The sequence below is a fragment of the Homo sapiens genome, chromosome 7 (assembly GCF_000001405.40).
Source record: "Homo sapiens chromosome 7, GRCh38.p14 Primary Assembly".
In the NCBI taxonomy this organism is placed as follows: Eukaryota; Metazoa; Chordata; class Mammalia; order Primates; family Hominidae; genus Homo; species Homo sapiens.
The window spans coordinates 133,097,483-133,109,704 of record NC_000007.14 but is presented as its reverse complement, the minus strand read 5'-3'; the positions used below and the strand labels follow the sequence as shown (position 1 = coordinate 133,109,704).

Sequence of the window (12,222 nt, the reverse complement as noted above, 5' to 3'; positions counted from 1 at the left end):
GTCATTCACAGTTACTTAGTGGAAAAAAACATGATGCATAAGAGCCCAGTATAAAAATGGTCCCATTTTTCCTAAAATATACATATATGTTTATGTAAACTAAATATCACATTTTTCCACATGTAATGCTTGTTCTCATACTGAATTGTATAGATGACCAAGTAGCTCTTGAATTTTCTGAGAAAGAGCTTACTAATTTAGGTAACATTGAACAATACAATAAAGTGGGTTTACACTTCACATCCTTAAGCAAGCACTGATCCATCAGTCAGGTCTAGTTTTGAAAATCCTTTTTTTTTCTACCTTGATGCCAATAGGAGTTTTTTTGCCATCCATCTTTAATACAATACTCAACATCCCTGGCCTCTGTACACTTTCTCCTGGCTTTCCCTCTAGCCCCAAATGCATTGGTACCACCTTTAATTATGTAGAATAATCCTCTGTTTCAGCTTCTAGCTCCAAATTTGCATTACCCCTCCCATTATAGTGTTTCACAAAAGGGATCTCCTGTTACCAGCATCCTTTCTCCCACCCCTTAATAGGGGTAGCAGTGGGTAACAATAGTAATGACAACTTTTTTTATGTGACATACAGTAAAAAGTGCTGGAAAAATCCATAGTCACAATTACTTTCTCTAGGCAGTGGGATCACAGGTGATATTAATTTTCCTTCTTTTGCTTACTTGTGTTTTATTCAATAAACATACATTAACTTTGAAATAAGGAAATGTTATTTAAAAACAAATCCCCAATGGAAAAACAGTAACCAGAAGTAATGTCTTTCCTCTGTTTCTTAAAACTCTACTAAATAATAAAGAGTAAATAAATTTTTTAAAAAGGGATAAACTCACAAAGACCAAAAAAATTGGAGATGAAGCAAGAATAAACAGATTTCAGGTTATTTTTGGGAAATGGCAGGAAGATGGAAGAGTAGCAGCTGATTAGCAAAGAAGGCCACACCACAGTGCCTGTGGGAGTAGGAGGGCTGATTCATTCCATGGAGCCTTCAAAGCTCTGAGTGAAAAACAATACTCATTCTAGAATTCTCTACCTACCCCAAATTATCAATCAATAATGGGGTGGTATAATAAAGATCTTTTTAGACACACAACCACTCCCCAAAAAAAGACCTTTCCCGGGAAGATCATCAAGGATATGCTCCATAAGAACAAGGTGGTAATCCAAAAAAGGGGAAACATGGGATCAAGAAAAAAAGAACACAAGACAGCAGTAAAGGGAATTCCCAAATGAGGTGAGGGAGGTAGAGATGGGAATAGAAGGACAGAGGGCTTCAGGAGGTCAATCCAGAGTCTCCTAAATAGGAGAGAAGATGGGACTGACATGTTTGAGCACATGAGAATGGGATGAAAGCATATGTGACAGTAATGCTGGGACACTTGGGAATTACTAATGGGAGGTTCCTAGAAAACTAAGCAAATGGGTTACATAAGAATCAAACTGCATCATAGCAAACTGTGCAGCTCAAAAGGAATCAGAATTTGCATATTCATTCAACAGTTCTTCATTGAGTTTTGTGTGCTTTACCAAGCCTGCAGCAGTGAAGAAAACAAACAAAGTGCTTGCTTTTATGGATCTGATATTCTAATGTGTAGGGAAGGGGGACTGACAAAACGTTTTTGTTTTACATGTTGCTATTTCTGAAACTGGGATGAAACATATAATTGATGGTATGTCATGCTTAATTGGCAACATTTTGTCTTCTCAGTAGTATATACAATAATAGTACAGGTTACCACAGGCTAGGAGAGGTAGTTGGCGGGCAGGGGGTGGTGGCGGGTGGAAGGGGAGGTTTGTTAATGGGTACCAAAAACAATAGAAAGAATGAATAAGATCTAGTGTTTGATAGCACAAGAGGGTCATTATAGTCAATAATAGTTTGATTGTACACTTAAAAATAACTAAAAGAATGGCTGGGCACAGTGGCTCATGTCTGTAATCCCAGCACTTTGGGAGGCCGAGGCTGGCGGATCACCTGAGGTCGGGAGTTTGAGAGCAGCCTGACCAACATGTAGAAACCCCATTTCCACTAAAAATACAAAATTAGCCAGGCGTGGTGGCACATGCCTGTAATCCCAGCTACTCGGGAGGCTGAGGCAGGAGAATTGCTTAAACCTGGGAGGTGGAGGTTGCTGTGAGCCAAGATCACACCATTGTGCTCTAGCCTGGGCAACAAAGAGTGAAACTCCGTCTCACCAAAAAAAAAAAAAAAAAAAATACGACAACAACAAAAAACTAAAAGAGCATAATTAGATTGTTTGTAATACAAAGAATAAATGCTTGAGGGGGGATGGATACCCCATTTTCCATGATGTGCTTACTTCACATTGCATGCCTGAATCAAAACATCTCACGTACCCCATAAATGTAAACACCTATTATGTACCCACAAAAATTAAAAATAAAAAAATTAACACAAAATAATATATCTTACAATTGATGACAATCTCACATTTGATGAGATATGGTTATAGGTTATAATAGTCACAATAATATAAAAAATAACTATTGGCTGGGCACAGTGGCTCATGCCTCCCAGCACTTTGAGATGCCAAGGTGGGTGAATCATTTCTGCTCAGGAGTTCAAGATCAGCCTGGGCAACATGGTGAAACCCCATCTCTACAAAAAAATACAAAAATTAGCCAGGTGTGGTGGTGTATGCCTGTAGTGCCAGCTACTCAGGAGGCTGAGATGGGAAGATGTCTTCAGACTCGGGGGTTGAGACTGCAGTGAGCCGAAATCAGGCCACTACACTCCAGCCTGGGCAACAGAGCAAGACCCTGTCTCAAACGAACAAACAACTATTGATTGAACCAGAAGTTCTGATACGTGATGCTGGTGGGGGATGGGAAGAATGAGAGCAAAGGCAGTATAAATGAGCAAAGTTCTCCTCTGCCCTTGGGGGACGTCAGCAGATAATGCTTAAAATGGAAATAATGTATGCTTGCCATTGAAATCGTTGACATAGGTAATAGGGAATTAGAAGAGTCGAGATTAATTGCCTCCCTGACTGGGGGTGGAGAAGGGTTGAGCAGGAGACTGCTGTTTACCAGCAAAAACCTCTTCATACCTTTTTGCTTTTTAACCATGTAATATATTTATTTGATTAAAATGAGAACTAATTTAAAAAAGACTATATGTCTTAGATTGTATTCCCTAAAAGCAGAGGCCAAGGCAGGAATTCAGGTGCAGGAAATGTACCGAGGGTGCCAGGCGCAGTGGCTCATGCCTGTAATCCCAGCACTTTGGGAGGCTGAGGCAGGTGGATCACTTGAGGTCAGGAGTTTGAGACCAGCCTGGCCAACATGGTGAAACCCTGTCTCTACTAAAAATACAAAAATTAGCCTGGCATGGTGGCATGCACATGTATGTAATCCCAGCTACTCGGGAGGCTGAGGCAGGAGAATCACTTGAATCCGGAAGGTGGAGGTTGCAGTGAGCCGAGATTATGCCATTGCACTCCAGCCTGGGTGACAGAGAGAGAGTCCATCAAAAAAACAAACAAACAAACAAAAAAACGGGAGTATACTGAGGGAAGGCTCTTCAGGAAAATTGTAACAGGGCAAGAAAAGCAGATGCGGAAGGGGAGGAGCTGAGCACTGTGTGGCCTCAGGTAAACTCCAGCCTTGGCAGATCTCTGGGGAGCCTGGGCTCAGAAATTGCTCTGCAGAGCTGTCCCACCTTGCAGCAGAAGTGTATCAGTTAGTGCATGCCTGACTCCTGAGTGGGATGTAAATTCCCACGCATTTCAGGGTGAGGGTACTTTGTCATTCAAGGGCAATCCTCCAGGACAGTCACAGGTATAAGTCATTAGACACCACTCACAGCAGCTGGGAGATGAGGCCACTGGCTGCATCAGTAGCATCCACTCCACCATGCCATAAATCTCAAGGACAAATGTATAATCTGTATTGCTCAGAGTTCTTTTGGTTGCAAGTGACAGAAAGCCACCCTCAACTAACCTAGGGGCAAACAGTCTATGGAGGGGTTTTATTTTATTTGAGACAGGATCTCACTCTGTCACCCAGGCTGGAGTGCAGTGGCGCAATCATGGCTCACTGCAGCCTCCTCCTCCAGGGCTCAGGCAATCCTCCCACCTCAGCCTCCCAAGTAACTGGAACCACAGGTGCATGCCACCATGCCCAGCTCGTTTTAAATTTTGAATTGAAGAGGGAAGGATCTACTATATTGCCCAGGCTGATCTCAAACTCCTGGCCTCAAGTGATGGGACAGTTTTTATGGACTCATGTAATTAAAAATCAGACTTGGCTGCATTCAGGGCTCAAATATTGTCACCCGAGGTCCATCTATCTTTTCCTAGCTCAGGTAGGTTCTTTCATCGTGATGATAATGATGACACCCCACAGCCCAAGATTCCCCTCCTGTTGGTTTAGCAATCCCAGGGGAAAGAGAAGGTTTCTCGTACCTCTGGCAGAAAAGTACCAGGGACATTATCGACTGGCCCCTTTAAGGCATGTGCCTATATGCCTATCTAGTAGCCAACTACTCCAGGGCTGGGGATCAGGCTGGGGCGGGGGTGGGTGGAGGGGGCAGTGTGGAGGGGTTAAGAAAAGGAACCCGAGTACTCTGATTGTGGTAATGGGCAGGGGCAACTCTATCCAAACCACACATAAAGAGTTTCCCATAGAAAAGAGGGATTCAATTACCGAAGAAGAAAGAGATGTTAAATGGACAAAACAAACAAACATACAAACAAAACAATAATCATCCAGTACCACTCATTTTTCTAATTCTTCTTATTCTCCTGTGGTCAGAACCTTAATTATCAGAGGAGTGGAGATTTCACAACTTTATTCACTCTATCCGTGCAGCTCAGGAGTAATATCCACTCTCCTAACCTTGGCTACCATCTTTAAGAAGCCCAGGGAACTGATGGGAAGTAATATTTGTGACCCTGCTTAGTTGGTTTCAATTCTGTTTTATGCCGAGGAGCCCTAGGGAGAGAAGAGGGTTTATGGAAGGTCAAAACAGAAGCAACAATTTTTTTGACCCAATGATAAGACGATAAATTCTTTAGCTATGAGGTCTTGAATCAGGATGTGATGGCCTTTTCAGTGTTCAAGTTGTGTGTCCTGCCAACCTGGCTATTAACACGAATTGAGGGAAGCCTGGGGGCTGGGAGAATGAAATGTCCCATCATACTTTCAGCAATTACAGTTTAGCTAAACAGGACTCATGCCTTTTTTTCTTTAGCACTAAAACTGTTTTAATGAAATAGAGGATGACATTTCTGAAAAGAACATGTAATTCACTTCTACAGTAGATTTTTTTCTTATCCACATGAATATTTCTTAGCTCAGAATCCCTAAGCTGCGTTTAGTAAGTGAATATTATACCTTGCATCAAAATTAGATTCTGATTTAGACTTTAAACATCCACTTCCCTGTAATCTTGCTCCTCCGAACTTGTTTATTGTTATTATTTTGAGACAGAGTCTCACTCTGTGGCCCAGGCTGGAGTGCAGGGTTGCGATCTCAGCTCCCTCAATCTCTGCCTCCTGGGTTTGAGTGATTCTCCTGCCTCAACTTCCCAAGTAGCGGGGATTACAGGTGTGGGCCACCACTCCCAGCTAATTTTTTTGTATCTTTAGTAGAGATGAGGTTTCACCATGTTGGCCAGGCTGTTCTCAAACACCTGACCCCATGATCTGCCTGCCTCAGCCTCCCAAAGTGTTGGGATTACAGGCGTCAGCCACGGCACCCAGCCTCAAACCTATTTCTATCTCAAGTCTGGACCTTGCAGGACAAATAGGAAAAAGTAAAAATTGAGTTTTAATAAAGGCACTATATAAAAAGTCAATTCCGAAAAGTAAAATGACAGATAAGTGTCAAATGCTGCACAATGGCACTTTCTAGTGTAGGCGGACAGGAAGGCCACGAAGGAGATTTTCACCTCTGGAGGGGTGGCGTAGGCTGCAGACTATTCTCAATGGAATCATCTGGGATGCTTGTTAAAAGGCAGATGCCAGAGGACACACCCCAGACCTAATGAAACACAACCTCTGGGGATGGAGCCAGGTATTTACATGTTTAAAAAGTATCCCAGGCTGGGCACGGTGGCTTGTGCCTGTAATCCTAGCACTTTGGGAGGCTGAGGCAGGTGGATCATTTGAGGTCAGGAGCTCGAGACCAGCCTGGCCAATGTGGTGAGATCCCTGTCTCTACTGAAAATACAAAAATTAGCTGGGCATGGTGGCAGGCACCTGTAATCCCAGCTACTTGGTAGGCTGAGGCAGGAGAATCGCTTGAACCCAGGAGGCAGAGGTTGCAGTAAGCCAAGATCAGGCCACGGCACTCCAGCTTGGGTGACAGAGCCAGAATCTGTTTCAAAAATAAATAAATAAATAAATAAACAAATAAATAAAAAGTATCCTAGGCCAGGTGTGGTGGCTCATGCCTATAATCTCAGCACTTTGGGAGGCCAAGGTGGGTAGATCACTTGACCCCAGGAATTGGAGAGCAGCCTGGGCAACATGGCAAAACCCTGTCTCCCCCCACCAAAAAAAAAGAAAAAAAATTAGCTAAGCATGGTGGTGCCTACCTGTAGTAGTAGGTACTCTGGAGGCTAAGGTGGGAGGATCGCCTGAGCCTGGGGAAGTCAAGACTACAGTGAGCTAAGATCATACCACTGTACTCCAACCTGAGCAACAGAGTGAGACCCTGCCTCAAAAAAGAAAAAAATGTATCTCAGGTGGTTCTGGTGCACATTAATACATTAATGCTTAGAACTGCCACCTCAAACAGAAAGCCATTGCAGGTAGAGCTGTATCTTTGGTACCTGACTGCACATGGCATCTCATAGGCACTTAAATTTTAAAGCTGCTTTGGAAAGCTAAACCTTTGTAAGGACAGATAAAGAAATTAGCAATACAGTTGCAATGTCATTCTTCCTAATCTGATCATTTTGTAAAAAGAGGGAAAGGAATGCTTAGCATGTGATTTAGTATATTTAAAGAGAATGTACTATTTGATGAGGAAACACTTACCTTGGGTTTCAAACGATAAAAGAAATGAAAGAATTGAGGGGTACTTAAAAATGCGTTCCTTTGAAAAGTATATTTAAAGTATCACTTGAGTATTCAAACTTTCTGCTAGCCAGCATCACGAGATTGTGTATATAACCACCCTAAATCTATTATGGAACAGATCCGTCTCAGAGCAGTGCCAAATCAAAGAAACATTCACAATCAAAATGCTACCTGCTCCCCAGTGCCACTCCACTGAATCCTTGCAGAGGTAAGCTCCCAGACAGGAGGCAGTCGTCTCCTGTACTGCTGGCTGATCTATAGGGAAGTGTGTTTTATTTGTGTCTCATGAAGGTTTATAATTTCTAACCCAGCCTTAGTACCCTTTTGCAGTTTGGATTCACTTTCGGTAAATTCCAGCTAGCATGAAAAGAGAGCTTTTGGTCAGCTTTTTTATTTCTGATTCTGCCACTGCTGTTCCCTGGGGAACTTGATACAATGTCATTCTCGGTAGCCATGGCTTAAGTTACATATGGCCTGGCCAAGGCACATCCAAGGTAAAAGGCAACACTTTCATATTTACAAGCCACTCATATGCTGTCCGCAGTTCATTTTACTAAGGATGGAACATTCTGGTACAAGTGGGAGCTCAGTTGAGTGTTAAGAGGATGAATGAAAGAGAAATCAAGCCATTTGCCTCTGTTTGCTTAGTAAATAAAGTATAAGAATGCATTGTATTCTGGTGCTATGTCCATTCACAAGATTAGCTGTATCCACTTCAAAATGATCGACTTCTGTTGTTACTGGATCTGAACCATGAGTTCAGTCTCCATCTCTCCCAATGTCACCAGCTACTCATAACCAACATCTCCCAAAATTGAGCCAGTGGCTGTCAGAGAAACCTGGCAAGTGTTCGTCAGTAGTTCTTTGAGAAATCATCCCCATTTTTAGACAAACAACTCAAGGTGCTTTAACAACTGATGGTATGGCTTTAAAAGCTTTGTTCTAAAACAGAAAAGTAAAGAAACAGCTTCATCGTCACATTCAAATGAAAGAAACAGCATCTGGGTATCACACTTTCTTAGAAATCCCGGGAGGGAGACTGCTTGGTGCTGCCTAGATTTGATATTCGCTAATCATCCCAGGACCTTATAGGCCACAGGTGTCCTGTACTTGACCAGACCTGCCCTGCATGGGAAAGGGGAAGAAGTCTAAGGGGAGATTCCCCATCACTGTCTCTTTTGCCAACATCCAGAAAGGAACCAAGTGCTCCAGAAAGAGCCCGGGGATGGCAAGACATGTCCGTTCTCTCTTTTTCAGTTCTAAGTCAATCAATAAGCAAGACATTTACTTATTAATTGGTTAGTTGGTTGGTTTTAGAATTTTAGAAATTATAATACTTGTTTGTATTCTTTTCAAATAATACGGAGGTATATACAGCAAAAAACTAAAGTCCGCAGTTTATCACCTCACATTCCATTCTCCTCCTCAAAAATGACCAATTTAATGTTTGTTGTTCTAGACCTTTTTCTTTACAGTAAAACTGTCAAGGCTTTTATTTGTACTAGTGCTTTTGAAAAAATGATTTTGTTTTATTTTTGAGACAGGGTCTCACTATGTTGCCCAGGCTGGTCTCGAATGCCTGGGCTCAAGCTATTCCTCCTGCCTCAAGCCTCCGATGTAGGACTACAGCTGGCACCACTGCACCTGGCTTGTACCAGTGCTTTTGTATAAAGCTTGTTGACTTCAGCAAAACACTGGTATTTTCTTTTTCTTTAAGTTTTTAAAAATATATATCTTTTTTGAGACACAGTTTCACTCTATCGCCCAAGCTGGAGTGTAGTGGCGTGATCTTGGCTCACGGCAACCTTTGCCTCCCGGGTTCAAGCGATTATTGTGCCTCAGCCTCCTGAGTAACTGTGACTACAGGTGCATGCCACCATGCCCAGCTAATTTTTATATTTTTAGTAAAGATGGGGTTTTGCCATGTTGGCCAGACTGGTCTTGAACTCCTGACCTCAAGTGATCCACCCGCCTCGGCCTCCCAAAAAAATATTGAATTGTCAAATAAAGATAGACCATATTCAAGGTGTATAATGTGATGATTTGACATATATATACATTGTGTAATGGCTACTGCAGTCAAATTAATTAACACATCCATCACCACCCATGCTATTCATTAGATCCCAGAACTTGTTCATTTTATAACTGAAAATTTGTACCCTTTGACGAACATCTCCCATTTTCCCCACTCCCCAACCCCTGGCAACTTCCGTTCAACTCTCTGCTTCTGCGAGTTCAACTTTTTTAGATTCCACTTGTAAGGAGATCATGCAGTGTTTGTCTTTCTGGGCCTGGCTTGAGACTGACCTGACTCAGTGAGTGAAGAGTGCAGTAGTCTTTTCAGGCTTCTAGATTCCAGATCTAGAAGAGTCATTATTCCAGTTGCTATGCCTATTCCAACAAAATTACCCTATAACTTTATGGCTTGAAACAATAGGGCATTAATTTTGCTCACAAATTGCAATTTGAGCAGAGCTCAGCAGGGAGAACTCATCTGTGCTCCACCCACATACGCTGGGGTGTGCCCAGGCTGGAATCATCTGAAGTCTCACTCCCTCCCAGGTCTGGTGGGTGCTGCCAGCTGGAAGCTGTGACCTTAGCAGGGACTGTCAGCTGGAACAACCATACATGGCCTCTCTATGTGGCCTGGGGTTCTCCACAGCATGGTGACTGGGCTCCAAAGCTTGGCATCTTGAGAAAGAGGGAACCAGGCAGAAGCAATATTGCTTTTTATAACCCAGACTTGCAGAAGCCATACAGGATCTCATCTGCTGCACTCTATTCACTGAATCTGTCAGAAAGCCCAACCAGGTTCAGAGGAAGGGAAAGCAGACTCCACCCGTTAATAGGGAGTGAAAAGTTCAGGAAAAGAACATGGGACCAGGAATATTGGAAATATGGCTCTGGCCATTTTTTGAAAATATGATTTACCATATTCGTGATATTAAATCAGGGCTATAATAGTGATGTACTTCCTCTCTGTCAAATGGGCTCTAGCACTCTGGAGTCTACTTAAACCTGGGAGGGGACTGTGACCAGGCTAAAAGGGTGAGGACTGAGTTTCATCACCATACCAGATCCCTAAGAGGCTGGGGAAGGCAGGGCAGAAGAAATGAAGTAGGGTGAGGGGTGGAGGGAGCCGACAATAGCTTTTCCTCCTGCGCTCACAGCTACATTGACCATTTAACATTCTAATAGGAGAAGGCTGGCATTTGTTGCAGGCATTTTGTTTATAATTGAATCCCTCTGTCTCAACACACAGGCAGCACAGTCCCGAGTATGGTACTAATATCGAGATGGATAAGGCTCATCACAGCTCAAGATTAACTATAAATTCCTAATGTGTTCAGGTAAGATGCATCTCTACCTCCCGGCAGACAAAGAGGCAAACACAATGATCCATGAAAGAAAGAAACAGAGATGCTGCCCAAGTGAAATGAGCCTTGATATGTCACCTTCCTCACCTTGTGTTTTTGTAGCCATACCTCCAGACTTCCAGATCTCTGCCTGAGGTTTACTGATGGTTTCTTTCAGGGATCATTAAAAGTGATTCGTGGGCTGGCAAGGCTTTTGTTTTCCATGCTAAGGATTCAGTTTATAGCATGCAGCTTGGGAAGGGGTGTCTGGAGGACGGCATCCCCATCCAGGAAATCTACTCCAGGAAGGCCAAGAAGGCTTCAACAGTCCATGGGTGATCCGTGATGCTTGAGTGGGAGGAAGTGGTTCCATGGGGATGGGGTGAGGGTAGATGGGGGCCCAGGAAGTGGCTGTCTCTCTTGCCTCCTGTCAGGCTGCCCTCTCTATAGAAGAGGCCCTGGGGCCAGGTGTGGTGGCTCACACCTGTAATCCCAGCACTTTAGGAGGCCGAGGCAGGCAGATCACGAAGTCAGGAGTTCAAGACCAGCCTGGCCAACATAGTGAAACCCCACCTCTACTAAAAATACAAAAAATTAGCCAGGCATGGTGGTGGGCACCTGTAATCCCAGCTACTCGGGAGGCTGAGGCAGGAGAATCGCTTGAACCCTGGAGGTGGAGGTTGCAGTGAGCAGAGATCGCGCCACTGCACTCCAGCCTGGGTGACAGTGTGACACTCTGTCTCAAAAAAAAAAAAAAAAAAAAAGAAAGAAAAAGAAAAGAGAAGGGGCCCTGAGACACAGGGCTTTGAGCAGCCTGCATTCAGGACCCTAAAGAAGCCAGTGCTCAGGAAGGAGAGCTCTTCCTCAGAGGACTGGGCTACGGGCTACCCAAGGAGCCTTTGGAGCATTTTCTTTCTTCCATTGCTGGAATCAGCTTGCTTCTCTGTGTCCCTCCTGGCCTTCTCTTTCCTCTTGGGAGGTATTTTCGTTTACAAATGAATAGATCACTTGGACTTTGCAGATGCTTGGACTAAGTTACTACACACATGTCAAGCACCAAAGTGCCCTATGAAGACACCAGTGCTCCCTTTGGGTCAGCTTTGCAGGCCGGGATGTACACTTTTAGATTGCCCACCCTCAGAGAGAAGGCTCTCTCCCCAGAATCCCCTAAGGACACAGCCAGAATGCCCAGCTGCCCAATTACTTTCTCTTCCCCTTTTCACTCTATAATTTTAATCAGCAAAAATATTGAAGAAGAGTAATTGGGGTTGAAAATAATGGCAAAAGCAGCAATTACTTTTGCACCAACCTAATACTTGCACAGCACCTCCTTAATCCATGGAGTGATGCTGGTCCTTGTATTTGTTTTTATTTTATTTACTTTTGTTTATTTGTTTTTTGAGGCAGAGTCTCACTCTGTTGCCGAGGCTGGAGTGCAGTGGCGCGATCTTGGCTCACTGCAACCTCCACCCCTCAGGTTCAAGTAATTCTCATGCCTCAACCTCCTGAGTGGCTGGGACTACAGGCACACACCACCACGCCCAGCTAATTTTTGCAGTTTTTAGTAGAGATGGAGTTTCACCATGTTGGCCAGGCGGGTCCCGAACTCCTGACCTCAGGTGATTCGCCCACCTTGGACTCCCAAAGTGCTGGGATTACAGGTGTGAGCCACCACGCCCAGCCAGTCCTTGTATTTGTATGCATGGGGCTTTACACTCATTATCAGAAATAAATCCCATTGCACTGTGTAGTTCAATCTCAGATCAGGGTCTCACTCAAAGAAACAGCCTAGCAGCA

The 12,222-nt window shown here is 43.7% G+C and overlaps 1 long non-coding RNA gene across 1 annotated transcript; it reads left to right on the top strand.

Annotated features, from left to right (window-relative positions):
• Positions 1-1,193: 1,193 nt before the first annotated feature.
• Positions 1,194-10,634, top strand: LOC105375512 (uncharacterized). Its single transcript, NR_133931.1, has 3 exons — positions 1,194-1,251; positions 7,185-7,274; positions 10,332-10,634. It is a non-coding gene; the product is annotated as an uncharacterized LOC105375512 (long non-coding RNA).
• Positions 10,635-12,222: the final 1,588 nt, after the last annotated feature.